The sequence below is a fragment of the Homo sapiens genome, chromosome 9, assembly GCF_000001405.40.
Source record: "Homo sapiens chromosome 9, GRCh38.p14 Primary Assembly".
In the NCBI taxonomy this organism is placed as follows: domain Eukaryota; kingdom Metazoa; phylum Chordata; class Mammalia; order Primates; family Hominidae; genus Homo; species Homo sapiens.
In genome coordinates, this window is record NC_000009.12 from 111462605 (window position 1) to 111489006 (window position 26402).

The window sequence follows — 26402 nt, forward strand, 5'->3', positions numbered from 1 at the left end:
ACAATGGCAATAAAACTACAAGTTATCTGGAAATAAATCTAATGAAACATGTCATAGTCCTTTACAGAGAAAATTATAATCCTAACTATAATTCATAAGATCTAAATTAATGGAGAAGCACAACATTCATGGAATTTTTTTTTTTTTTTTTTTTTTGAGACAGAGTTTCACTCTGTCACCAAGGCTGGAGTGCAGTGGTGCAATCTCGGCTCACTGCAACTTCTGCCTCCCAGGTTCAAGCGATTCTCCTGCCTCAGCCTCCCAAATAGCTGGGATTACAGGCATGCGCCACCACACCTGGCTAATTTTGTATTTTTTGTAGAGATGCAGTTTCGCCATGTTGGTCAGGCTGGTCTCAAACTCCTGACCTCACTCAGGTGATCCACCCACCTCAACCTCCCAAAGTGCTGATACTACAAGTGTGAGCCACCACACCCAACTACATTCATGGATTTCCATGTCAGGATAGGTTAGTGATAATAACCCCCAAATTTCCATGGCTTAAAAACAACCAACATTAGTTTCTCACTTAGACCATGCCTCAGTCATAGATCAGGAGGAGGGCTCTGCTCACTACAGTCGGCTGATAGAGCCAACACCATCTCAAACACCGCTAGTTAGTGCCATATCCTCAATCCTTCTGGCTCAATTCAACCCTTCTGTGGTGAAACTTCTGTGGTGAATCACATGTCTCTCACTGTGTCCCCAGCACTAAATTCTATTTTGTGCCCAAAAGAGAGAACTAGAAATATCTGGTAAACAGCACTAATGCTCACAAATAAACTCAATATTGCAAAGATGGGAAGCCCCCAACAGTCAAACATTCTCTACAGAAAACAGAGTGCTTTGTGAAAGCTGAAAAAAATTATAAAATTCCTTTGGAATATGAATGGAACAGAGTATGAAACAGCAAAGAGCCAAGAGTAACTGTCAATTTTCCATAAAAGTGCAGTAGGAGTGGCTCAATCAGATTTCAAGACTTATAAAGCTATGACAATTATTAAGATTGAGTGTGACAAAAGCACCGGTCAGCAAATAGACAAATCAATAGATTAAAACAGAGAACACAGAAAGAGAACTGGGAATACATGAAAACTTGAGATTGACAAAAATGCCATTAAGAATCAGAGAACAATGGACTACACATCAGAAAAAAAAAGATTCAAATCTAACAGTACCAAATGTTGGCAAAGATGGGAAACAAACCAAGAACTCTGGTCCACTACTGATGGGGTACATATTGATACAATCTCTGAAGAGCAATTCTGCAGTAAAGACATCTCTAGCAAAGTTGAAGAGGAACATACCCTTCCACCTAGCAATTCTGCCATTCAAGAAGCCCATCTACAAACTGTTTATCACCAGTCAGCAAAGAGATAAGGAACACTTTTTATTGAAAAAGTGCTTCTAGAATAAGAAGTGTTAAATAAATTAACAGTGATAGTTGATTTACATTTTGATGCAAGTTCCTTATTTGCAAGAAATAACTCCCTAATGCTCAGACAACACTTTATGTAACACCGTCCTAGAAAAAAACTCTCCCAGGGGCTGAGTGTGGTGGCTCACACCTTTAATCCCAGCACTTTAGGAGGCTGAGGTAGTCAGATCGCTTGAGCTCAGGAGTTCAAGACCAGCCTGGGCAACATGACAAAACTCCATCTCTACCAAAAAAAAAAAAAAAAATTAGCCAGGCATGGTGGTATGCACCTGTAGTCCCAGCTACTCAGTACTCGAGAGGCTGAGGTGGGAGAATCCCTTAAGCCTGCAATGAGTTGTGATCGTGTCCCTGCACTCCAGCATGGGCAACTGAGCAAGATCCTATCTCAAAAGAAAAAAAAAAAAAAAGAACTCTCCCAGGAAGAGACAAGCACAAGGACACATGTGTGAAAGTGTTCACAGCCCAGGATTAGTAAAAGCAAAAATATAAAAACAATCTAAATATCAGTCAACATGAGAAGGAATAAATTATGCAGAGTCACACAACGATGGAAATAAATAAACAAGGATTACATGTTACATGAGCCAACAAGACCATATCTGAAAAATCTAAGATCAAACAAAATAAGCTGCAGAAGGATATGTACAGTTTAGTCCCATTTATGGAAAGTTTTTAAACACAAAACATATTGGGTACGATACATCACAGTAATGACAATCTCTGAATGAAAAGGGAGAGGGAAGGAGGGGAGGAGGAAAGAGAGGAAAAAAGGGAAGAAAAGAAAAATGATATGATAAGGAGTAACACAGGGGGTTTGAATTGCATCTGCAATGTTTATTTCTTTAAAAAAATAAAATAAGGCCGGGCGTGGTGGCTCACGCTTGTAATCCCAGCACTTTGGGAGGCCAAGGCCAGTGGATCACCTGAGGTCGGGAGTTTGAGACCAGCCTGACCAAAATGGAGAAACCCCGTCTCTACTAAAAATACAAGGAGGCTGAGGCAGGAGAATAGCTTAAGCCCGGGAGGTGGAGGTTGTGGTGAGTCGAAATCATCCCACTGCACACCAACCTGGGCAACAAGAGCAAAACTCTGTCTCAAAATAAATAAATTAATTAATTAAAATAAAATACAAGACCTGAAGCTGATAGCAGAAAATGTAAAAATTTGACAAAGATGAGTCAGACATACATAAATGTTAATAAGATTACTCTCCAAGGCCGGGCACAGTGGCTCATGCCTGTAATCCCAGCACTTTGGGAGGCCGAGGTGGGTGGATCACCTGAGGTCAGGAGTTTGAGACCAGGCTGGCCAACATGGTGAAACCCTGTCTCTACTTAAAATAAAAAAATTAGCCAGGCATGGTGGCGGGCGCCTGTAATCCGAGCTACTCGGGAAGTTGAGGCAGGAGAATTGCTTGAACCTGGGAGAAGGAGGTTGCAGTGAGCCGAGATCGTGCCATTGCACTGCAGCCTGGGCTACAAGAGCAAAAAAAACTCCATGTCAACATTACTCTCCATACTTTCCTTCATGGTTGAAATAATTCGTTATTTTTAAAAGAATATATATATATATATATTCCATGATAATTTTATTTTATGATATAATTATATAAAAAGTGAAAGAAAATACATCAGTAATTTTTCTTAATACTTTTCAAATATTTTTCAGTGAAAATACATTTTTTGATTAGAAAAAAACAGCATACAGGCCAGCATATGCAGTGGCTCACTCCTGTAATCCCAGCACTCTGGGAAGCTAAGGCAGAAGAATCACTGGAGCCCAGGAGTTTGAGACCAGCCTCGGCAACACAGCAAGACCCCATCTCTACAAAAAATTGAAAAATGAGCCAGGCATGGTGGTGCGTCCCTGTAGTGCCAGCTACACAGGGGGCTGAGGTGGGAAAATCGCTTCAGCTCAGGAGGTTGAGGCTGCAGTGAGCTAGATCATGCCTCTGCACTCCAGCCCGGGTAACAGAGCAAGACCCTGTCCCAAAAAAAAAAAGTATACAGAGCAAATATTTTTCAAAAATCAAAAATCCATGTTTTAAAGACAAGAAAAAAAATTTTTAATCACAGAACTTTGAAGCTTGAAAGGAACCTTAAAGCCTATGAAAGAACAAAAAGAGGCAGGGCACGGTGGCTCACACCTGTAATCCCAGCATTTTGGGAGGCCGAGGTAAGTGATCACGAGGTCAGGAGTTCAAGACCAGCCAGGCCAACATGGTGAAACCCATGTCTAGTAAAAATACAAAAATTAGCTGGGCATGATGGTGTGCATCTGTAATCCCAGCTACTCAGGAGGCTGAGGCAGGAGAATCGCTTGAACCCGGGAGGTAGAGGTTGCAGTGAGCCATGATGGCGCCATTGCACTCCAGCCTGGGCGACAGAGCGAGACTCCGTCTCAAAAAATAAAAAAAAAGAAAGAACAAAAAGAACATTTGATCTCAAAGGAAAAGTATCAAAACCCTGAGAATCTTAAAATTCCAAAACAAAACAAAAATCCAGTTTAGCTCATGTTAACTATGACATTCTTGTAGGAGGAAAAAAAATCTACTAAAAATATAAATAACTAAATACACACACACACACACACACACACACACACACACACACACGTTTTTATTTTGGAGACAGGGTTCTGCTGTTGCCCAAGCTGAGGTGCAGTGATGCAGTTACAGCTCATTGCAGTCTCAAGCCATTCTTCCACCTCAGCCTTGGAAGTAGCTAGAATCACAGACATATGCCACTGCACCCAGCTAGTTGTTTTATTTTTTGTAGAGATGAGGTCATCCTATTTTGCCCAAGCAATCCTCCCACTTCAGCCTCCCAAAGTGCTGGGATTACAGGCGTGAGCCACCACACCCAGCTCATTTATTTTCCTTTAAATAATTCAAATTTATCTTATTCGCCTGTCTTTAGTTTCTCTATCTAAAGACGAAGAAGGAACACTCCCTCCTCCTACCCGCATAAAAAGAAAACGACCAGTAAAGGTTTAAAGACTTCAGCACATTCTTCAGATCTCTCTCAAAAACACAACTTTAACTTCTAAATTAGGGAGGAAAAGCTATTTTCTTACAGGACTAGAAAAAACAATAAACCTACAATTACTTATTTTTCCCTCACATCATTATTAATGGAAAAAGCATGTTAAAAAAGAGAAGAGAAAAAAGAAGAGAAGAGATGAGAAAAAAGAAGAGATGAGAAAAGAGAAGAGAAGAGAGAAGAGAAGAGAAATCAGTTTCCTTTCAGGACAACCTGAACATCAAAATAGTCCTTTAAAATTATACAAGAAAAGTATACTATCAAAAGGAATAGAGAAAGGATTCTATTTAAGGCAATGTTATCCCTGTTTGGTTGAATTTCAGAGGATTCTTTCTGGTTTGTTTAATTATGTGTCATTACTAACTTACTTCATGAGCACGAATTACTTGCGTGAATTTCTGAGTGACAGGTTTCAGGTTTTTTAAGGTTGCTTAAATTTTCTACAAAAAATATTTTTTTCCTGAATATGAAAGTAAATTTTAAAATACAAATCAGGTTAGAGGTCTTAAGTAGAAGCTGAAATTGAAGAGAAAGCTGAAAATACCTAAGACCACCGCTAACACCACACGATATTTTTTAAAAGATCTATCAAGTTACTACAGAAATATATTACACTATAATAGACGATTTCAGAAAGAAATATTCTCTCTAATGGTATTTACTTTCTTCTGATTCACAGATATAAGTATATAAAATACATCACAGTCACAAAGCAGTTTCACATGGCCTTCTGAGCCTCAGAAAAATGTTGTGAGGTGCACTTATAGATGCATTTATAGACTCACCACCTAACTGACCTGCCAGAGGTCACCATGTGAATGATACACAGATTCAGAAGCTGAACCCAGGACCTGAGGTCAGGAGTTCAAGACCAGCCTGACCAATATGATGAAACCCCATCTCTATTAAAAATATAAAAATTACTCAGGCGTGGTGGCATGTGACTGTAGTCCCAGCTACTAGGAAGGATGAGACAGAACTGCTTGAACCCAGGAGGCAGAGGTTGCAGTGAGCCGAGATCACGCCACTGCACTTCAGCCTGGGCATCAGAACAAGACTCAGCCTCAAAAAACAAAACAAAACAAAAACAAACAAGCTGAACCCAGAGAGGGCTTTACCCTCCAAGCGCACACTGGAACACAGTACCTGCCTGTAAAGAACTTCTAGTAAAGCAAGTAGTATTAGCTCCAATTTACAGTTGAGGAAACAGAGCCTTGAAAACATTCTGTTGACCAAGATTCCAAAACTACTAAGTGGCAGGGCTGATTCAAACCCTAGACAGTCCAATGCTCCTTCTAGCACACTAAATTATAACATGGTTTAAGCGAGAAAGTAGGTGGAGAAGATACTAAATCTTACTAGACAACTGTATACGACGTGACTCCAAACCAGCAGAGATGCAGCAGTTACTGCCGAGAGAAGGAAAGGAAGAGAACAGAAAAAGATGAAGAGGAAGGGGTGAACCAGTAAAAGGGCAGAAAATCAAGCACTCTTAAAACAAGGCCTTTTCCTAGGACATACCAATTCTGGGCAAAGAGAGTGAGTGAGAGAGAGAGAGAGAGAGAGAGAGCGAGCGTGTGTGTGTGTTTCATGTCCAAGCTCAAACGTGTGTGTGTGTGTGTTTCACGTCCAAGCTGAAACATTTTCAGAAGTGGGAGCCCAGAAACTAAGAAAAGAATAAGAAACTAAAGTATAGGGAATTCACAAAAATTGGAAATATCAGGCTGGAAGGTAGGGAAGAGAATGGACTCTGACAGTCAGTACAATTAGGAGTTTGAGGCTAAAACTATGGAAAAATAAGGAAGCCCTAGTTGGCATCTAGATTTTGTGTGTAATACTAGTATTTTCTGGTAGATCAATCCTGTGAATTATAAATCTAACCAGATACTAACCGGAAGTTAAAGTCCACTTCATCTATCTGAAATATCATCTCAATTCCCCAAAAGCCACGCTAATACTTGGCAAAACCCAAATGAGGCCAGCAGGATGCTTCTTTAAGAATTAATTAGCTGAGCGTGATGGCAGGCCCCGTAATCCCAGCTATTTGGGAGGCTGAGGCAGGAGAAATCACTTGAACCCAGGAGGCAGAGGTTACAGTAAGCCAAAATTGTGCCACTGCATTCCAGCCTGGGCAACATAGCGAGACTCTGTCTCCAAAAAAACAAAGCAGCCGGGTGCAGTGGCTCACACCTGTAATCCCAGCACTTTGGAGGCCAAGGCAGGTGAATCACGAGGTCAGGTGAATTTGAGACCAGCCCGGCCAACATGGTGAAACCCTGTCTATACTAAACATACAAAAAATTAGCTGGGCGTGGTGACGGGCGCCTGCAATCCCAGCTACTCGGGAGGCTGAGGCAGGAGAATGATTTGAACCCGGGAGGTGGAGCAGTGAGCCGAGATCCAGCCACTGTACTCTAGCCCAGGCGACAGTACGAGACTCCGTCCCGCCAGGCGCGGTGGCTCACGCCTGTAATCCCAGCACTTCGGGAGGCCGAGGTGGATGGATCACAAGGTCAGGAGATCGAGACCACCCTGGTTAACACAGTGAAACCCCATCTCTACTAAAAATACAAAAATTAGCTAGGCATGGTGGCGGGCGCCTGTAGTCCTAGCTACTCGGGAGGCTGAGGCAGCAGAATGGCGTGAACCCGGGAGGTGGAGCTTGCAGTGAGCCGAGATCGCGCCACTGCACTCCAGCCTGAGTGACAGAGCGAGACTCTGTCTCAAAAAAAAAAAAGACGCCATCTCAAAAAAAAGAATGTCTAGAAATGTGATCTCTACTCCTGTTTGTAAAGAGTTACCCCCATCCCCAGCCTTTTTTACAGAACTCAACAGATGCAAATGTACTTAAAAGGAGAATGTCAGGCAGTCTAGCAGAAAACATAAATATAAGTTGGGAGTGGGGAGAAGATCCATTACCAGAAAGAGACAATCCATCAAGGTTCCTGCAGGAGCTGCCTCTCTCCAGCCAGGGCCCAAGAGGTGGCAATGAGTACCTTCACAGGCAACAAAGTCCTGAGCAGGAGGTCCCTGCTGATGGAGTCCTTTGCTAGTAACTCTGCCCACCCCAGAATTAAGGCAATCAGACAGATTATCTTTCTGTTCCCTAGTCCACCAGTCTGTCCCCCAAGGGCCCAGGCAGATACCCTAATCTGGAAACCCTTGCATCTGGATCTACTACAGGCTAGGCTCTTTAAACAGGGAAGAGGAAAAGAGTCTTTCTTTCCCTGGCCTTTTTTTTTTTTTTAGTGAAGTCTTGCTCTGTCACCCAGGCTGCAGTGCAGTGGCGCAATCTCTGCTCACCACAACCTCCCCGTCCCGGGTTCAAGTGACTCTCCTGCCTCAGCCTCCCGAGTAGCGGGGACTATAGGCATGTGCCACGACACCCAGCTAACTTTTTGTATTTTTAGTAGAGATGGGGTTTCACTGTGTTACCCGTGATGGTCTCAAACTCCTGACCTCGTGATCCGCCCGCCTCGGCCTCCCAAAGTGCTGGGATTACAGGCGTGAGCCACTGTGCCCAGCCTTTTGCATATGATTCCAGGCTACTTCAAACTCCCTGCCAATCCAGCATAGCCCAAAACAAGGCTACCCCTCCCTGATCATATTGCTTACCACCCCGCACCCACTTCCCCACAACCCCATCATGTCCTCTCCTCCCGCCACACACACACACACACACACACACACACACACACACACACAGAGGAAGGGGAGGAAATCATAGGAGTAGCTTGGCAAGACTGGGCCAGGTGACAAGACAGAAGCCCTAGATTTAATGAGTAAGTGCTAGACTCCCAACACTGAGGTCCACAAGGCCCTTTCCCCCAGAGACAGCAGCTGGCAGAGATACTCAGTTAGAAATCGGTTTTAGGAGGTGACAAGCAGGAAAGATTACTTCAGCTTGTGAAAGCTAGCTTAGAGGAAATAATATATACTATGCAAGAGTTCAGACTGCATAAAAGTCTAATGTACGATCGTTAAGATCCACCCAAAGCAGCTAATTACTTAGAACAATGCTCATATGGGTGTGTAAGCCCTAGAATGTTCTTTATTTAAATCACTATTTAAATCCTAGCAGTTGTAGCTTCACTTTGCCTTCAGTATATCATAATGACATTAACACATCAATCACAAGCCCAAAAGCTCTAGGAGTTAAAGAATCTAGGAGAGAAGAAACAATGTCCTCACTGCTCTTCTAAACAATTCTTCCCATCTCCCAATTTTTCATTTCTCTAAACGCCCAAGGAATAAAGATTTGTGAAAACAGCAAAAACAGGCCAAAATTTATTTTAAAGTTGAATTCTGGTTTTAAAATTATCCCATCCCTCAAAATTTCACCTAAATGAATAAGACATTTTGTATCATCAGCAGCAATATATATACCAAAACATAGTAGAATGCATAGGAGGGGTGGGGAGAAGGGGTCTAACAGTTAAATTAGAAGATAGCAACAAAAAGCACTTTTGGATTGAAGCTACAAAATCCCAGGAACTCACTGGATATTGAGTCCATGATATCAGAGAATTACAATCTGAATTTACAGAGTTTCAATCAAAAGACCATCTGATATCATCCAAGAGTGAAAATGACACCATACTCTTATTCTGCCTTAGAATGAAGTAGAATTAAATGGCTTTTCTCAAAATCACAATGCATGACAAAATGGCAGAATTAGAAACATCCAATTACCATGAAGATGCCTCCTTCATACCTCTTCTCACAAATAGAACAACTGGCTGGGCATGGTGGCTCACACCTAAAATCATGACACTTTGGGGGGCCCAGGTAGGAGTATAGCTTGAGCTCAGGAGTTCCAGACCAGCCTAGGTAACACACAGAGACTCTGTCTCTACCAAAAAAAAAAATTAGCCAGGCATGGTGGCACACAACTATGATCCCAGCTACTTGGGAGGCTGAGGTGGGAGGATCCACTTGAGCCCAGGAGGTCAAGGCTGCAGTGAGCCATGATCGTGCCACTGCACTCTAGCCTGGGCAACAAAGGAAGACCCTGTGTCAAAAAATAAAAATAAAACAAAATGTAGTCCCAGCTACTAGAGAGGCTGAGGTGGGAGGATCGCCTGAGCCCAGGAGATCAAGGTGGCAGTTAGCCATGATTGTGCCACTGTACTCCAGTCTGGGTGACACAGCGAGACCCTGTCTCAAAAAAAAATTAAAAAATTTAAAAAACAAAAACCTCCATGATGGCATTCCTCGAGCATGTAAAATGACTTTTTGTGATTGTGGCACACAAAGTTGTTTGTAAACGATCACCCATCGTCTTTTCCTTGTGCACAGTGCTAAATAACATCTCCAAGGGAGGCTGAGGTAGGTGGATCGCCTGAGCCCAGGAGTTCGAGACCAGCCTTCATGGCAAAACCCCATCTCTACTAAAAATATAAAAATTAGCCAGGTGTGATGGCATGCACCTGTAGTCCCAGCTACTCGGTGGGGCTGAGGCAGGAGGATCACTTGAGCCTTGGGAGATCAAGGCTACAATGAGCCATGACTGCCCCACTGCACTCCTGCCTGGACAACAGAGTGAGACACTGTCTCCAAAAAAAAAAAAAAAGACTTCAAGTTTTATCTTTTTCTTCTTTTTGCAAATTATTTTTATGTTTAGCATTACAGAGAATAGAGGCTTCAGGCATTTGTAAATTAACATGAACTTCACCAATTTTCTCAGGCTAGCTAGAAAAGGAAAAAAAAAAAACATGAAGATCTTGGGGGGAAATTGCTACCTGATAACCTATGCATTTTTAAATGCTGCTACAAAAAAAATGCACACATCCTAAGGAACTAAATCTACTAACCTCTACAATCAATGTGATACATGGTTTATCCAATCTTGACAAAAATCCTCGGGATCACCAATGGTACGTTCATCCACTCGTACATATGCAATTGTATAAAGAATCTATTATTTAGAACACCAAAAAAATACAATTAACAGATGTATATGCATAGCTACAATTTTAAGAAAAAAATAAGCACTTTTCATTTCTTGTTAGATCTTTGATGCCCTGCTTTGCAAATTCAGTATGAGGAAAAAAAATTATAATGACTATCAAATTTGAGAAAGAATAAGGCCTATGTCCACAAACCAAATTTACTGAGAACATGCTAATACTTCAAAAAATACACTGATAATCATTTGCTGAAGACTTAAAATCTCTAATACCAATGCAACATATTTTATCATATATGTATATGTGTGTATATATATCATAAATATATAAACTGTTACATTAATTAGAAGTGTTTCAATTACATAATAGTTTTATAAGAAGTGTTACTAAACATGTATACATGTTTTTAGCACATTACATATGAGAACGCAAATGGCTGACAGACATAACCCCGGCCACCGCTGACCTCTCTTAGCACTCTTCATCTCCTTTCTCTGATTATCTTCCTCTCGCTCTTAAATACGTATACACGTGGCTCCCAGTCAGCTGACTGTGAACAATATGCCCATTCCCACAGCTCTACCATGGGAATCATTCCCACACTGTCTCCCTAGCTTCAGAACCAAGGTTCCCACACACCCGCAATCCATGTGCCAAGATGTGCTATCTCTTCCCATTCTTAAAACAATCCTGGCCAGGCACGGTGGCTCACGCCTGTAATCCCAGCACTCTGAGAGGCCGAGGAGGGCAGATTGCTTGAGTACAGGAATTTGAGACCAGCCTGGGCAACATAGCCAAACCCCGTCTCTACAGAAAATACAAAAATTAGCCAGGGATGGTGGTACCCGCCTGCAGTCCCAGCTACTCAGGAGGCTGAGGTCAGAAGATGGATTGAGACCAGGAAATTGTGGCTGCAGTGAGCCGAAATCACACCACTGTACTTCAGCCTGGGTGACAGAGAGAGACCCTGTCTCAATAAAAAAGAAAAGAAAAGAAAAAAATCTTGTAAGTTTTATTATCTCATTTTACAGATGAGAAAACCGAGGCCTACAAGTTAGGTCCCTTGTTCAAGAACACATTAAGAAGTATCAGAATCAGGATTCAAAACTGTCTCTGATTCCAGTTCCAGAGGTTTTAGCCACTACTCAAAGCAGTCTCCCTGAACAACATGGGGGCTCAATAATTCAACCCATTCATTCAACAAATAATCTTTCTGCTGAACACAGACTACCTATCTGTTGAATCTGTTCTCTCTTTCCTTCACTTTCCTAAATCTGTCTAGAGGCTACACTCTCTGTTACTCCTCCACCTTCTAGTCTCAGGTCAGATTTAGATTCATCTCTAACTCCTCCCTTCTTCAACAACCCTCATCTCGTCAGCCAACAATTTCTCCCTATTTTAGGGATTTTACATTATATTAACTCCTTGCCAAATCCACTTCCACTGTCCCAACTCAGACCCTAAGTTTCTTTTTACTTGGCCATTGTGATACCCTCCTAATTAGTCTTGCTGCTCTTGATCTCCGGATCCTTGCAATCAGTGTTACACCAATGCCACCTGTTACCCGTACAAAACAGACCTACTCATGTTACGCTCCTGCTTAAAAGCTCTGATGGTTCTCTACTGTCTACAGAACAAAGTCCAAACTAGTTCTGTTGGCATTCCTACAACATGCTGGTCCCAACCTATCTCCACAGCATCATCTGCTATTACATCCCACACCAAAAATAATAATAATTTATAAGAGCTTAAGTGTTTACACAGTACATTTTCACATACATTAATCCTAACAATACTATGAGTGAATCTTGTCATTCCAATTTTATGAGGAAGAAACTGAGACTTGCAAAGGTAAGGTAATTTGTCCAAGATCTCAAATCATAAAGGCAGCATGGGCCAAGTCTCAAACCACACAGCTGATCCCCTTTCCCAGTACTTCACACAGCCGTAGCACCCCCATTCCCATCATAACAGACTTACTCAGCTTTTTTTGTTTTGCATAATATTTCCCTATCTCCAAGTCTCAGCTCAAGCTATTTTTCCTTTAGCCTCAAATACCATTCTCATTTCTTGAGGTTTCCAAAGAACTGTGTTAGGCAGTTTACTTACCGTGCTTTGTGTATGTTATTTACATTTGCACATAAATCTGTCTCTGCACTGAATTATAAGCCCTCTGAGGACAGCACCATACATTATTTACTCAATTTTAAAAGTCTGCTTATTGAATTGAAAAAATACATGGGCAAAACAAGCCATATAAAATGGGAAGCATCAAGGCCAGGTCTGAAACGAGAGCTCAGCAACAGGGATCAAACCATCTGAGAACACTGGCAGTGACTTCAATTTTAACATCTATCTTCTGAACAAGGTCAATGCTCCTGTGCCAACTATTCTCACTGACAATGGCCTTGATCACATATTATAGTTTACTGAAAGCATAATTCAAAACAGAATGTGGTGGGCCAGGTGCAGTGGCTCAAGCCAATAATCCCAGCACTTTGGGAGGCCGAGGCAGGCAGATCACTTGAGGTCAGGAGTTCAAGACCAGCCTGGCCAACATTGTGAAACCCCATCTGTACTAAAAATACAAAAATTAGCCAGTTGTGATGGTGCACGCCTTGTAGTCCCAGCTACTCAGGAGGCTGAGACAGGAGAATCACTTGAACCTGGGAGGCAGAGGTTGCAATGAGCCAAGATTGTGCCTCTGTACTCCAGCCTGAGTGACAGAGTGAGACTCTAGTTTCAAAAAAAAAAAAAACCCAGAATGCAGTGAAAGTAAAAAAATCAGAATGGAAATTAATAAAAAATAGAAATATCCGTGGTCATTTTTCCATCTTAACTTTCCTATTTGGTTAAGTAACTAAAATTTAAATGATACAGGCTTGCCTTGGCCTTTCTACAAAGATCAGCTTGGAAGCCTGTATTCTGGTCATTTAAGCAATTAGCTCTTAGGGGCTATTTCAGTATGGTCACAGAATCATGTTCAACACACAGCTTCCCAAATCTCATCCTCTAAAAGAGCTACCAGGATTCCCAGCACTAGCAGAGGCTCTCTCAGAAGACACCTGACATGCTGATTATCTGGCCAACTTTTGCAACTGAAGTTTCCCATGGCTATGTCAAATGGTCAAATTGAATAGTGCATCCTTCAAGATTATAGGCTGTTGCTCCTTCATGAGTTGCCTTTATCCCAACGAAGATCAGATTCTAAGGATGCCTTATAATTATAAAGCCCAGAATACGAAACCACTAAACAGCTGACCAGGTGAAAAGTCTCAAATGCTTCCTTCCCTGTTGGAAATCTCTCAACCCACTCCTGAAATATTAACTATAATGTCAACTTTTCCATAAAGTGGCAGAAGATAGTATTAGCAGAAAAACTAGCCACATGTCTTGCATTGAATTTCATTTCATTTGCAATAGTTATAATCACTCTAAGCATAAGGAAAGAAAGCTACAGGCTCTGACCTAAACTAATTTACAAACTAGATTTCAGAACTGCCTTTAACAGTCAAAACTAATGGTTTTCTTTTTTGGCAACATACCCAAAAATCTACTATGTTCTGTTCAGTAACATCAGAATTTTTTTTTTTTTTTTTTTTTTTTGAGATGGAGTTTCACTCTAGTTGCCCAGGCTGGAGGGCAATGATGCAATCTCAGCTCACCACAACCTCCGCCTCCCGGGTTCAAGTGGGAGTCTCACTCTGTCACCCAGGCTGGAGTGCAGTGGCACAATCTTGGCTCACTGCAATCTCTGCCTCCCAGGTTCAAGTGATTCTCCTGCCTCAGCCTCCTGAGTAGCTGGAACTACAGGCGTGTGCCACCACAACCAGCTAATTTTTGTATTTTCAGTAGAGACAGGGTTTCACAATGTTGGCCAGGCTAGTCTTGAACTCCTGACCTCAAACCTCAGGAACTCTAAACCTCAGCTTCCCAAGTAGCTGGGATTACAGGCATGCGCCACCAGGTCTGCCTAATTTTGTATTTTTAGTAGAGATGGGGTTTCTCCATGTTGGTCAGGCTGGTCTCGAACTCCCAACGTCAGGTGATCCACCTGCCTCAGCCTCCCAAAGTGCTGGGATTACAGGCGTGAGCCACCGCGCCTGGTCCTTTTTTCTTTTTTTTCTTTTTTTTGAGATGGAGTCTAGCTCTGTCACCCAGGCTAGAGTGCAGTGGTGCGTTCTCAGCTCACTGCATCCTCCAGTTCCCAGGTTCAAGCAATTCTCCTGCCTCAGCCTCCCAAGAAGCTGGGACTACAGGTGCACGTCCCAACACCCGGCTAATTTTTTTGTATTTTTAGTAGAGACGGGGGTTTCATCATGTTGGCCAGGCTGGTCTTGAACTCCTGCTCTCAACTTATCCCCCAGCCTCGGCCTCCCAGAGTGCTGGGATTACAGGTGTGAGGCACCGCTCCAGCCCTGATTGCCACATCTTATACACTACAGAAGGTTCTTTCTGGATACTGCGCCTGGCCCCGATTGCCACATTTTATACACTACAGAAGGTTCTCTCTGGATACTAGTTAGACACACACACACACACAAAAAGCCATTTTGATCTTGTTATGAACTATATATTCTCCCATGCAGGACAGGAATAACACAGTAGTAGTAGGGCAGAATTAATACAAATTTTGCAATCAGAGAATCTAAGTTCAAGTCCTAACTGTCTAATGAGGGTAGCTCTACCCCTGAGACAGTACCAGTACCAAACTCACAGGGTTGTTCTGAGGATTCAATTAGTTGATACATGCAAAACAATTAGAACACACGGTAAACACACAATAAATAAACAGCTTTACTATTCTTCTATTATAATCACTGACTCAAACATGAGGTTTGTGAAAGGATAACAAATGCTAACAATAACAAGTCTCACCCCAAAATTAACCTGCCTATTTTTGGCAACTTTTTTTTTTTTTTTTTTGAAACAAGGTCTCGCTTTGTCACCCAGGCTAGAGTGCAGTGGTGTGATCTCAGCTCACTGCAGTCTTGACTTCCTGGGTGCAAGCCATCCTCCCCACTCAGCCTCCCAAGTAGCTGGGACTACAGGCGCATGCCAACACACCCAGCTAATTTTTATATTTTTTGTAGTAACAGGGTTTCACCATGTTGCCCAGGCTGGTCTCGAACTCCTGGACTCAAGTGATCTGACCACCTCGACCTCCCAAAGCGCTGGGATTACAAACTTGAGTCACCGCACCCAGCCTTCTGGCAACTTCATGCTCAATGGTATTACTCAAAAAAAATAAATAGGCCGGACACAGTGGCTCACGCCTGTAATCCCAGCACTTTGGGAGGCAGAGGTGGGTGGATCACGAGGTCAGGAGTTCGAGACCAGCCTGGCCAACATGGTGAAACCCCGTCTCTACTAAAAATACAAAAATAAGTCAGGCGCAGTGTCGCACACCTGTAATCCCAGCTACTCAGGAGGCTGAGGCAGGAGAATCGCTTGAACCCAGAAGGCAGAGGTTGCAGTGATCTGAGATTGCACCACGGCACTCCAGCCTGGACAACAGTGCGAGACTCCATCTCAAAAACAAAATAATAAACAAATAAATAAATAAATAAAATAAAAGAGAACCCTAACAGTCAATTTTGCTTCTCCTACAAAGTGTGGTAGCAGATATAACTGAAAGTTGCAGATTTCATTTAAATTGATATGACGTAAATTACTTCAAATGCAAGGCAGAAAATGTTCATTTGAAATCTATAGAAATGCAGTTTTACCAGCTACACATCTCAAAATAACAGACCTGGGAATCACATATGATATTACTTTAGTATTATCCATATCATACAGTCATATTTTGGTCCTTACTTATCTGTTTACACATATTCTTCCTCTTCCTCAATAGTATTGTAATTCCTTTGGTGGGCTTTGGTGTCTCTTTTGTACCCAACAGCAATGATAAACAACAGTCAAATGGTTGGATTAAGGTAACATCTAGCTGAGAATCTGGCAATGCATCTGATTTGAACTGTTCATCATACACACTCTGACTATGGTGCAAAGAGGTAAGATGGCCTCAAGGATGGCTGTGAGTGCATACTAGAGACTGAGGACACTGGGACTACTTTCCAGCTGCAGGACCCAGGGGACCTAAGAAGCCTGTTTCTCTCTCCATAAAGCAGCAATAATAATGTTACCTACCTTTCAGGGTTATTCTGAGGAATAATACATACAAAGCATTTAAAACAATGCTGGTGCTGAAATATTTAGGGGGAAGGTGTGTTGGTGTCACCAATTTACTTTGAAATGCATAAAAAAAGATGGAGTAATAAGTACTTAATACCACTGTACACTTAAAAACTGTTAAGGCAGGCAGGGCACAGTGGCTCACACCTTTAATTCTAGCACTTTGGCAGACCAGGAGGGGCGGATCATGAGGTCAGGAGGTCGAGACCAGCCTGGCCAACACGGTGAAATCCTGTCTCTACCAAAAAAAAAATTAGCCGGGCATGGTGGCGCACACCTGTAATCCCAGCTACTCGGGAGACTGAGGCAGAAGAATCACTTGAACCCAGGATGTGGAGGTTGCAGTGAGCCAAGATGGCGCCATTCCACTCCAGCCTGGGCGACAGAGCAAGACTCCGTCTCCAGAAAAAGACAACAAAAAAAATTGTTAAGGTGGTAAATTTTATGTTATGTGTATTTTACTACTATTTTTTAAAAAATAAAGTAAAACTAAAAAAGTTTAACAATTGGCCAAGCATGGTGGCTCACGCCTGTAATCCCAGCACTGTGGGAGGCTGAGGTGGGGGGATCACGAGGTCAGGAGTTCAAGACCAACCTGGCCAAGATGGTGAAACCTCGTCTCTACTAAAAATGCAAAAATTAGCTGGGCGCAGTGACAGGTGCCTGTAATCCCAGTTACTCAGGAGGCTAAGGCAGGAGAATTGCTTAAACCCAGGCGGCAAAGGTTGCAGTGAGCCGAGATCGCGCGCCACTGCACACCAGCCTGGGTGACAGACTGAAACTCCGTCTCAAAAAAAAAAAAAAAAAACTTTAACAATTTTTAAAAATCTACTGAGATGGACAAATGACAAAGTTTGCTATAATAGTAAATATGATAAAGTTATTTGACTATCAATGATAGAATCTAAGTGGTGGGTACACGAATGTTCACTTTCAACTTTTCTGTGTGTTTGAAGATTTTTTACAATAAAATGTTAGTGGAAGAGAACAATGCTGGCATCTAGTAGTTTGCTTTTACTATCATCTACTAGTCATAAATGATAGAAAATATTTGGATAATTCTCTCCTTTTTTTTTAGTGGAATTCTTAAAAGCACCTTTTCTTTTTTTTTTTTTTTTTTTTTTTGAGACAGAGTCTAGCTCTGTTGCCCAGGCTGGAGTGCAGCGGCACAATCTTGGCTCACTGGAACTTCCACCTCACAGGTTCAAGTGATTCTCCTGCCTCAGCCTCCTGAGTACCTGGGACTACAGGCACGTGCCGCCACACCAGGCTAAATTTTGTATTTTTAGTAGAGACAGGGTTTCACCATGTTGGCCAGCCTGGTCTTGAACTCCTGACCTCAGGTGATCCACCCATCTCGGCCTCCTAAAGTGCTAGGATTACAGGTGTGAGCCACCACACCTGGCCAAAAGCACATTTTATCAGCATCTGCTATTTTATTATACCCATTCTAAAACTAAAAGTGGTTTATATGAAACTTCTTAACCAGTGTACATGTATATGCTTTCAAGTTAAATTATTCTAAGGTATCAACTGCAACGTATTCAGTCTCTCCTGAAGAAATACAGAAACCAAGTCCACCGATATCTGTGGCTGATGACTGACAATTTAACTGAACAAAACAAGAAGAAGGCAAGGATTGGAATTATTTGTTCCTAACTTTCCATTAGGTACTAGAGCCAGGAAATCCCTTAACTATCAGCATCTTAACCAGTACCTGAATGTATGGAAGCACACTGCATAGACACAAATACTTCAGCCACTTCAGAATATCCAATTCTTCCTCTAGTTTTGTTCCCATTCCTGCTATCAATTCAGACTTTAATGTGTTTGGTTCTACAACAGGAACTCAGATGTCATACAGCATAGCAATTGAAAAAAAATCAGACCACCTCACACCCAACAGGATGGTTACTACTGACAATATAGATAAGTGTCGGCCAGGATATAGAGAAATTAGAACTCTGTGTATTGTTGGTGGTAATGTAAAATGGTACAACCACTGTCAAAAACAGTACAGTGGGGGCCGGGCGCGGTGGCTCACGCCTGTAATCCCAGCACTTTGGGAGGCCGAGGCGGGTGGATCACAGCAGATCACAAGGTCAGGAGATCAAGACCATCTTGGCTAACACAGTGAAACCCCGTCTCTACTAAAAATACAAAAAATTAGCCGGGCGTGGTGGCGGGCGCCTGCAGTCCCAGCTACTCGGAGGGCTGAGGCATAAGAATGGCGTGAACCTGGGAGGCGGAGCTTACAGTGAGCGGAGATCGCGCCACTGCACTCCAGTCTGGGCGACAGAGCAAGACTTGGTCTCAAGAAAAAAAAAAGAAAAAAGAAAACAGTACAGTGGTTCCTTAAAAATTTAAAACTAGAACTATCACATGATCCAGCAATTACATTTCTGGGTATGTACCCAAAAGAACTGAAAGCAAGGTCTCAAAGGGGTATCTGTACACCCATGTTCACAACAGCATTATTCCCAATAGCTAAAATGTGGAAGCAACCCAAGTGTCCATAGACAGATAGATGGACAAGGAAATGTGATATATACATACAAGGGAATATCATTCAACCTTTAAAAGGAAAAGAAATTCTGACACACGCAACAACATGGATGAACCTTGAGGACATTATGCTAAATAAAGATAAAACCAGTCACAAATTCTGTATGATTCCATTCACACGAGGTAGGAAGAATACTCAAAATCACAGGGACAGAAAGTACAATGATGGTCGCCAGGGGCCGAAGGGAGGAGGGAATGAGGATTTGTTGTTTAATGGGTATCAAGTTTCCGTTTTACAAGACGAAGAGTTCTGGAAATGGATGGTGGTGATGATTACACAACAGTGTGAATGTACTCAATCCCACTGAACTGTACACTTAAAAAATGGCTAGGACGGGAAATTTTATGGTATGTGTACTTTTCTTCCAATTAAAACAAAACATGGAACTGATCTCAGAAGGCCTGGTGGTGCTTCCACGTGGAACCGACAGAAGAGCAATCTGTAGCCCGCTTCTCTCTCTAATCGCACCATGAGACCTTGTCTCCTCCGACTCTCCAATCTGCTCAGGATCACACCAAGTGTTTACTTCAGCTTCAAAAAAAGCAAACAGTACTCCTGCTCCACCAGTTCTGTGTCAAAGCAGCAAGGAACTTAATCTCTCCAAACCTGCCTCCTCTTTAAAACAAGGATAATTCCTACCTATCTGCCTCACAAGGTTGCTATGAGGGCAAAAGTGAGATCATGTATATAAAAGTGGCTTTAAACTGACAAGCACCAGAAAAACATACATTACGTGTATAACTACTTTCATATGGAAATTCAGAAGCGGCTTTAACAACGTAAGCTTCATAAAGCTTGCAACACCTCACCCATGCTTTATTCCATTTAAAACCCACATCATCTTCAAATAACACCTTTCTTGTTTTTGCCATAAACTGAAGGGCAGCATTGGGAGAAAAAAAAAAAGGGAAAGAAAGAAAACCCTTGGGGGGGAGAACACTCAAAACGCAATCAGAAATTATCTCACATGTCCTATGTCCTATGAAACTTCGGTATTTATGACCCCAGCGTGGGTCCGCGGCGCCCCGGAACTACACTTCCCACAAAGCATTGAGGCGAACCCCGGCGGCGGGCGGGGCGGCCTGGGATTCAGGGTGACCACCGCTCTCCCCAGACAGGGACCGCCGTCCCCGGGAAGGCTGCACCGCGTACGATCGAGGGGGCACTAACTCTCCTTTCTGAAAGCGCTGTCACCCCGTGGTTTCTCCTGCGGTTCGACCGGCGACCCTCTCCGCCCTCCCTGCTCCATCTGAGGGTCACCGCCTATTCGTGACCTTTCGGCTGATTACTAGAGTGTCACAAAAAGGCACCTTCTCCCCCTTCCCGAAAGCTCCATTTCTATAACTCAACCAGCCGTCGGGGACCCGGGGCCAGGCGGGGTCAGACGGGACGGGCGGACACTGCCCGTCACCCCGGGGCTCCGGCCCTCCCGCCAGCCGAGGCTCAGTGGGCAGGGGGCTGGGCTCCCCCGACCCCGGGCCAGGGCGGATCGCGGGCAGAGGTGGCTCCGCCCGGGGCTCCGGTTTCAATTTCGCAACGTGACGGTGCAAACCTGAGGCCTACAAACGCCAGCGGCGACGGTCCGCGCCCCGCCCGTCCGCCAGGCCCGGGCTCCCCAGCTCCCCGTACGCCGCGGCCGCCGCCCGCCCACCGGGCCTGGCGCCCCAGCCCTCATGCGGCCGCCGGCCCCCGGCACCGCGCGGCGCCCGTTCCGGCTCGCGGCCGCAGGTTCGGCCGCGGCACTTACTCAGCTCATCCTGGGAGGCGGAGGCGGCGGCCGCAGCCATGTTGCGCCGGGGAGGGAACGAGGGAGGGGCTGGGGGGGCAGGGCGCGGCCGGGGGGCTCGCGGCTCGCGGTGCGGCAGGGGCCGCGAGCCGCCTCCGTTCACTCGGCGCGGACCGCGCTGTGCCCCGAGGCCCGCCCGCCGCCGCCGCCTGCGTCCTCCGCGTCGCGAGCGTCGCCCTTCGCTGCCCCCGCGAGCTCGCGACTCGGGCGCTCCCGCAGCCTCGCGCCTCTGCGGAGCCGCTGCCGCTGCCGCCGCCGCCGTCTGTGCGGCCGAATCCCCGTGCGCCAGGCCCGCGCGGCGGCTCTGCGACTCCGCGCCGCGCTCGCCCAACTCACGCCGGTTTTATATTTAGAAAGAGCTGAGCCATCCTCCCAGCGGCCCCCCCGCCGGGCCCCTCGCGCGCCCGCCCGCCCTCGCTCGCTCGCGGCTCGTCCTGCCCACCTGTCGCCGCCCGCCCCGCGTGCGCTCCCCGCGCGGACTCGACACGCGGCGGCCTGTGCGGGCGGCCCGGCCTAACCGCGCCGCCGCGCGCGCAGGGCCAGTCCCCCGCGGCCCGGGGGCGGGCCTCTGACCTGAGTCGGAGCCGGTCTCCATGCCGCGGACGCTGCGCTCGGCGCCGCGAGGTGAGGGCTGTAGAGCGAGGCGTTCGGCGGGCCGGGCCCCGGGGAGCCGCGCGCCGCAGTCCGTGAGGGGCTGGGCCGAGCGGGCCCGGGCTGCCCTAGCGGCCGGGGGAAATCCTCGAGGCGGGGCCGGAGCGCCCTTTTCCGAGGTCTGCGGCTGTCACGTTGGCTGGGCCCGACCTGGGGAAACACGCCTGTCCAAAGGAAGAGACGTGGACTCAGAAAAGTAGAGCCGGGCTCGGAGTCGGCGGGAGGAAGCCCCGCCCTGCGCCTCCCGCCGAACTTCTCGGCCCCGGCGCTGACTCAGTCCCGGACGAGCCCCTGCGCCGCAGCGGCCCCCGACAGCCCAGTTCTGGTGTGGAGGTGGCTGGTGCTCCCAAAACGGCTAGCGGGAGCAGGGGGTCCACTCAGCCCTGCAAAAGTTAGATAAGGCAAGATTCCTAAAGTTCACATGGAAGTATCTATGCCTATGTGAGCTCTGAGATTTTGTTCAGATACCCTATGTTCTTTTCGGTAACTAGAGTGATTTATTTTCGATATGCTGATTTTAACTTTCTGCCTTCGCTTTGTCCGTGAGGTCATGTACACTTGCAAAATGAAATTCAAATTCAGGGGTTGCATAATTGCTGTACTTTAAGTGATGGTACTGTCATAACAAATTAGATACAAGATCAGATACTTTTTTTATATAAGAAGAAATCAAGTCTTAAATAGATTGAAATTGCATTTATTCCTTAAAGCAGAAATCTATAAAGCCCTAAGTAATGTCTTAAAAATGGAATATATGTCATTCCTGTTGTAACATAGGCCAAGTACAAGGTACAACACTGAAGACATTTTTATTTCCTTTATTGTTTTTGTTATAGAAATTATACATGATCTTGGGCCGGGCGCGGTGGCTCACGCCTGTAATCCCAGCTCTTTCGGAGGCTTAGGCGGGTGGATCACGAGGTCAGGAGTTCGAGACCAGCCTGGCCAACATGGTGAAACCCTGTCTCTAATTAAAAAATACAAAAATTAGCTGGGCGTGGAGGCGCGCGCCTGTAATCCCAACTACTCGGGAGGCTGAGGTAGGAGAATCGCTTGAACCCGGGAGGCGGAGCTTGCAGTGAGCCGAGATCGCACCACTGCACTCCAGCCTGGGGGACAGAGCGAGACTCCGTCTCAAAAAGAAAAAAAAAAGAAAAATTATACATAATTTTTGTAAAAAAAAAATGCAAATGATTTGGAGTATCATAAAATTAAAAGTGAAAGTCCTTCCTCCTAGCCCCACCATCCCACTCTGCAGAGAAATTATGACTAACAGTTACAGTTAAGTGTGCAGAAGACCTTTTCTCTGGACATATATATACAGCCCCATGTATGGCTTTGATGGGGACAGGTTTCTACAATAAAGTTCTGGATCAATTATTCCTTCACACACATTGTTCCATGTTAATTCAAAACACTGCACTACCATCACCCTTTTTTGTTTGTAACTTCATACTACACTAAGTTAACCAACCCCTTTTTTCATGTATGCTCCTCTTTTATTTGATGTTGCCTCCAAAATAAATACACAATGAACTACTTACAAACAATAGAGAGGTGTATACAGGTCTTCTCCCAACTGCATACCCACCATCCCCCCTCATCCCACTCATGCCCATAAATAATCCCTATTAACAGTTTGGTGCATTCAACCTTTCCTTACTGTTTCCGTGACTATAGAAAGTAGCTGCACCAAAGACTGGTTTGGGGAAATTTGACTTCCCATAATTTCAAATGGATCCTTCCAAAGCCACCCCAGATAAATACAGAATCTGAGTAAAAAACAATGGGTTTGTTATTTTATTTTATTTTTATTCATTTATTTATTTATTTTATTTTATTTTTTGAAACGGAGTTTCGCTCTTGTTGCCCAGGCTGGAGTGCAATGGCGCGATCTCGGCTCACCGCAACCTCCGCCTCCTGGGTTCAAGCGATTCCCCTGCCTCAGCCTCCCGAGTAGCTGGGATTATAGGCATGCGTCACCACGTCCGGCTAATTTTGTGTTTTCAGTAAAGACGGGGTTTCTCCATGTTGGCCAGGCTGGTCTCCAACTCCTGACCTCAGGTGATCCACCCACCTCGGCCTCCCAAAGTGCTGGGATTACAGGTGTGAGCCACCATGCCTGGCCGTTAGGCAATTTTAACCTCCAGGCAAGACTAGTTAACAAATCCTTAGTTCCTCCTATGAAGAAATTCCAGGTTCTCTGCGTGTACAAATCACATGAATGTGTGTACACAGATTTTTGTTAGTTTTGACAAAAATGGAACTCTACTTCCCATATTATGTAACGTTATCTTTTCACCAAATAATGTATTACAGGTGTCCTTTCATATCAGTAATGATAATAATGGCTAATGGAATAATAATTATGCCAGACACCATTCTAGTGTTTTACTTGGATGAATTCATCTAACCCCCACAACAATCTTATGAAATAGGGATTTTTATGGCACTGGATGGTTGAGGAACACATCTAATGTGCCACAAACTGGAAAGTAAGTGGTGGAGCTGGGATTTGAACCTGGGCAGTGTGGATTCAGAGTCAGCTTGCTTAATCACTAGGATCAGTATGTACAGAACTACCTCTTTTTTTTTTTTTTTTTTTTGAGAGGGAGTCTCGCTCTGTCCCCCAGGCTGGAGTGCAGTGGCACGATCTCAGTTCACTGCAACCTCCGCCTCCCGGGTTCAAGCGATTCTCCTGCCTCACCCTCCTGAGTAGCTGGGATTACAGGCATGTACCACCACGCCCAGCTAATTTTTGTATTTTTAGTAGAGATGGAGTTTCACCATGTTGGCCAGGCTGGTCTCAAACTCCTGACCTCAAATGATCCACCTGCCTTGGCCTCCCAAAGTGTTGGGATTACAGGCGTGAGCCACTGTGCCTGGCCTCATTTTTTTTTTAAATGGCTGCATGATAAGTACCAACAAAATGTATTTAACCATTTCCCTATTGATGAGCTGTTAGGTTGTTTACAGTTTTTTACTAAACAATACTACTGTAAAACATTCTTATACATATCTTTATGTAATCACATATTTCTAGATGTAGATGTGGAATTGTTAGGCAAAAAAAGATCTTAAAGTCTCATTACATACAGTAGTTTATAGCAACTTACAGTGCTACTTCTGATCACTACTGTGTAAAGCTCTAAGCTTTTTTATACTTGCTTCTTCCATCAAACTACTTGTAGTTCATTTTTCCCACTAAATAGCTTCATGTTCATATGAAACACTTAGGTTTTGAATAACAGCAGCCTTGAGATAGTTCCTGTCTAGAATTCACTTCAGCTGTCAAAAACAGAGGCAAGAAGGAATTGGGGTGAGGAGGAAAACAGGAGCCAGAGAAGAGGCTACTGAGAAACCAAAATAGGATATCATAGAATCCAAGAACTAAAAACCTGTCCCCTCTCCTCTCATGTAGGCTGTCTTCACATCAAACACATATACAGTTCTAACAAGATTTTTAAAAATCTTGTTTCCAGCGTTAAAGCAAAATATTTGAAAGCATTCTTCTTCTGGGCAGATACATGGATGACAAGTGCTAACAGACACCTAAAAACAAAGAAGCATACAAATTATTAAGCTAGGCTGGGCCAGGCACAATGGCTCACATCTGTAATCCCAGGACTTTGGAAGGCTGTGAGGCAGGAGGATCCTTGGAGGCCAGGAATTCAAGACCAGCCTGGGCAATCTAGCAAGACATGGTCCCTACAAAAAATCAAAAAGTTAACCAGGTGTGGTGGTGCACGCCTGTGGTCCCAGTACTGGAGAGGCTGAGATGGGAGGATTGCATGAGCCTGGGAAGCAGAGGTTGCCATGAGCAGAGATGGCACCACTGTACTCCAACCTGGGCAACAGAGTGAGACCCTGTCTCAAAAAAGAAAGGAAGGAAGGAAGGAGAAAAGAGAAGAGAAGAGAAGAGAAGAAAAGAAAAAAAAGAAGAAACAGCAGCTAGGCTCACACCTGTAATCCCAGCTACTCAGGAGGGTGAGGTGGAAGGATAACTTGAAGCCAGGAGTTCGAGACCAGCCAGGGCAGCATAGCAAGACCCCATCTGTACAATAAAATCATAAATAAATGAACATATAAGAACTCAAAATGTAAATTCTGGGTCGGGTGCGGTGGCTCACGCCTGTAATCCTAGCACTTTGGGAGGCCAAAGCAGGTGGACCATCTAAGGTCAAGAGTTCGGGACCAGCCTGGCCAACATGGAGAAACCCCGTCTCTACTAAAAATACAAAAAATTAGCTGGGCATGGTGGCACGCACCTGTAATCCCAGCTACTCAAGAGGCTGAGGCAGGAGAATTGCTTGAACCCGGAAGGTGGAGGTTGCAGTGAGCCGAGATTGCGCCATTGCACTACAGTCTGGGCGACAAGAGTGAAACTCAGTCTAAATAATTAAATAAATTTAAAAAATTAAATTCTGGGGGTATTTATAAAGTACGAAATGCACTGAGTCATTTCTCTTGAATAGATGGTATTCATGGTGCTAATCCTAACCTTATAAAACAGTAAAATTACGGCCAGGCACGATGGCTCACACCTGTAATACCAGTATTTTAAGAGGCTGAAGCAGGAGAATGGCTTGAGGCCAGGAGTTCAAGACCAGCCTAGGGAAATATAGCCCCTGTCTCTACAAAAAAGGAAAAAAAATGTAGTAAAATTATGTCAAGTATATTAGCATCAAAAAACCAAGTACGGAGCATATTTTAGTAAGCTTTTCATCTAAAACGATTGTAATAAGAAATTTTGGGTGCCTAAAAGGATTAATTCTAAACTATCTAGAAAATTAAATTATCCCAAGTGATTCAA

General features: G+C 44.3%; 1 protein-coding gene across 10 annotated transcripts in view, besides 4 other annotated features; it reads right to left on the reverse strand.

Moving 5' to 3' along the window:
• Positions 1-21779, reverse strand: part of ECPAS (Ecm29 proteasome adaptor and scaffold) — a 123699-nt gene extending 101920 nt beyond the window's left edge. For 2 of the 10 annotated variants that reach the window (NM_001363756.2, XM_047423106.1), the window contains exon 1: positions 21512-21779. In NM_001363756.2, the coding sequence (NP_001350685.1) occupies positions 21512-21533 (22 nt within the window). In that variant the 5' untranslated portion in view covers positions 21534-21779. Of the gene's footprint in view, positions 1-10292; positions 10397-20704; positions 20798-20899; positions 20959-21380; positions 21454-21511 lie in introns of those variants that run through there. The other 8 variants (XM_047423107.1, XM_047423108.1, NM_001364931.1 and 5 more) reach the window with 6 other exon arrangements.
• Positions 8145-8644: an enhancer, noted in NCBI's record as "H3K4me1 hESC enhancer chr9:114233029-114233528 (GRCh37/hg19 assembly coordinates)". NCBI's record gives its function as "activates a minimal SCP1, AML or CMV promoter by ChIP-STARR-seq in naive H9 embryonic stem cells {active_cell/tissue: H9 hESC(naive)}" and the evidence as "EXISTENCE:reporter gene assay evidence [ECO:0000049][PMID:30033119]".
• Positions 20409-20828: a silencer, noted in NCBI's record as "silent region_20177". NCBI's record gives its function as "represses an Ori minimal core promoter by ATAC-STARR-seq in GM12878 lymphoblastoid cells {active_cell/tissue: GM12878}" and the evidence as "EXISTENCE:reporter gene assay evidence [ECO:0000049][PMID:35858748]".
• Positions 21099-21218: a silencer, noted in NCBI's record as "silent region_20178". NCBI's record gives its function as "represses an Ori minimal core promoter by ATAC-STARR-seq in GM12878 lymphoblastoid cells {active_cell/tissue: GM12878}" and the evidence as "EXISTENCE:reporter gene assay evidence [ECO:0000049][PMID:35858748]".
• Positions 21339-21878: a silencer, noted in NCBI's record as "silent region_20179". NCBI's record gives its function as "represses an Ori minimal core promoter by ATAC-STARR-seq in GM12878 lymphoblastoid cells {active_cell/tissue: GM12878}" and the evidence as "EXISTENCE:reporter gene assay evidence [ECO:0000049][PMID:35858748]".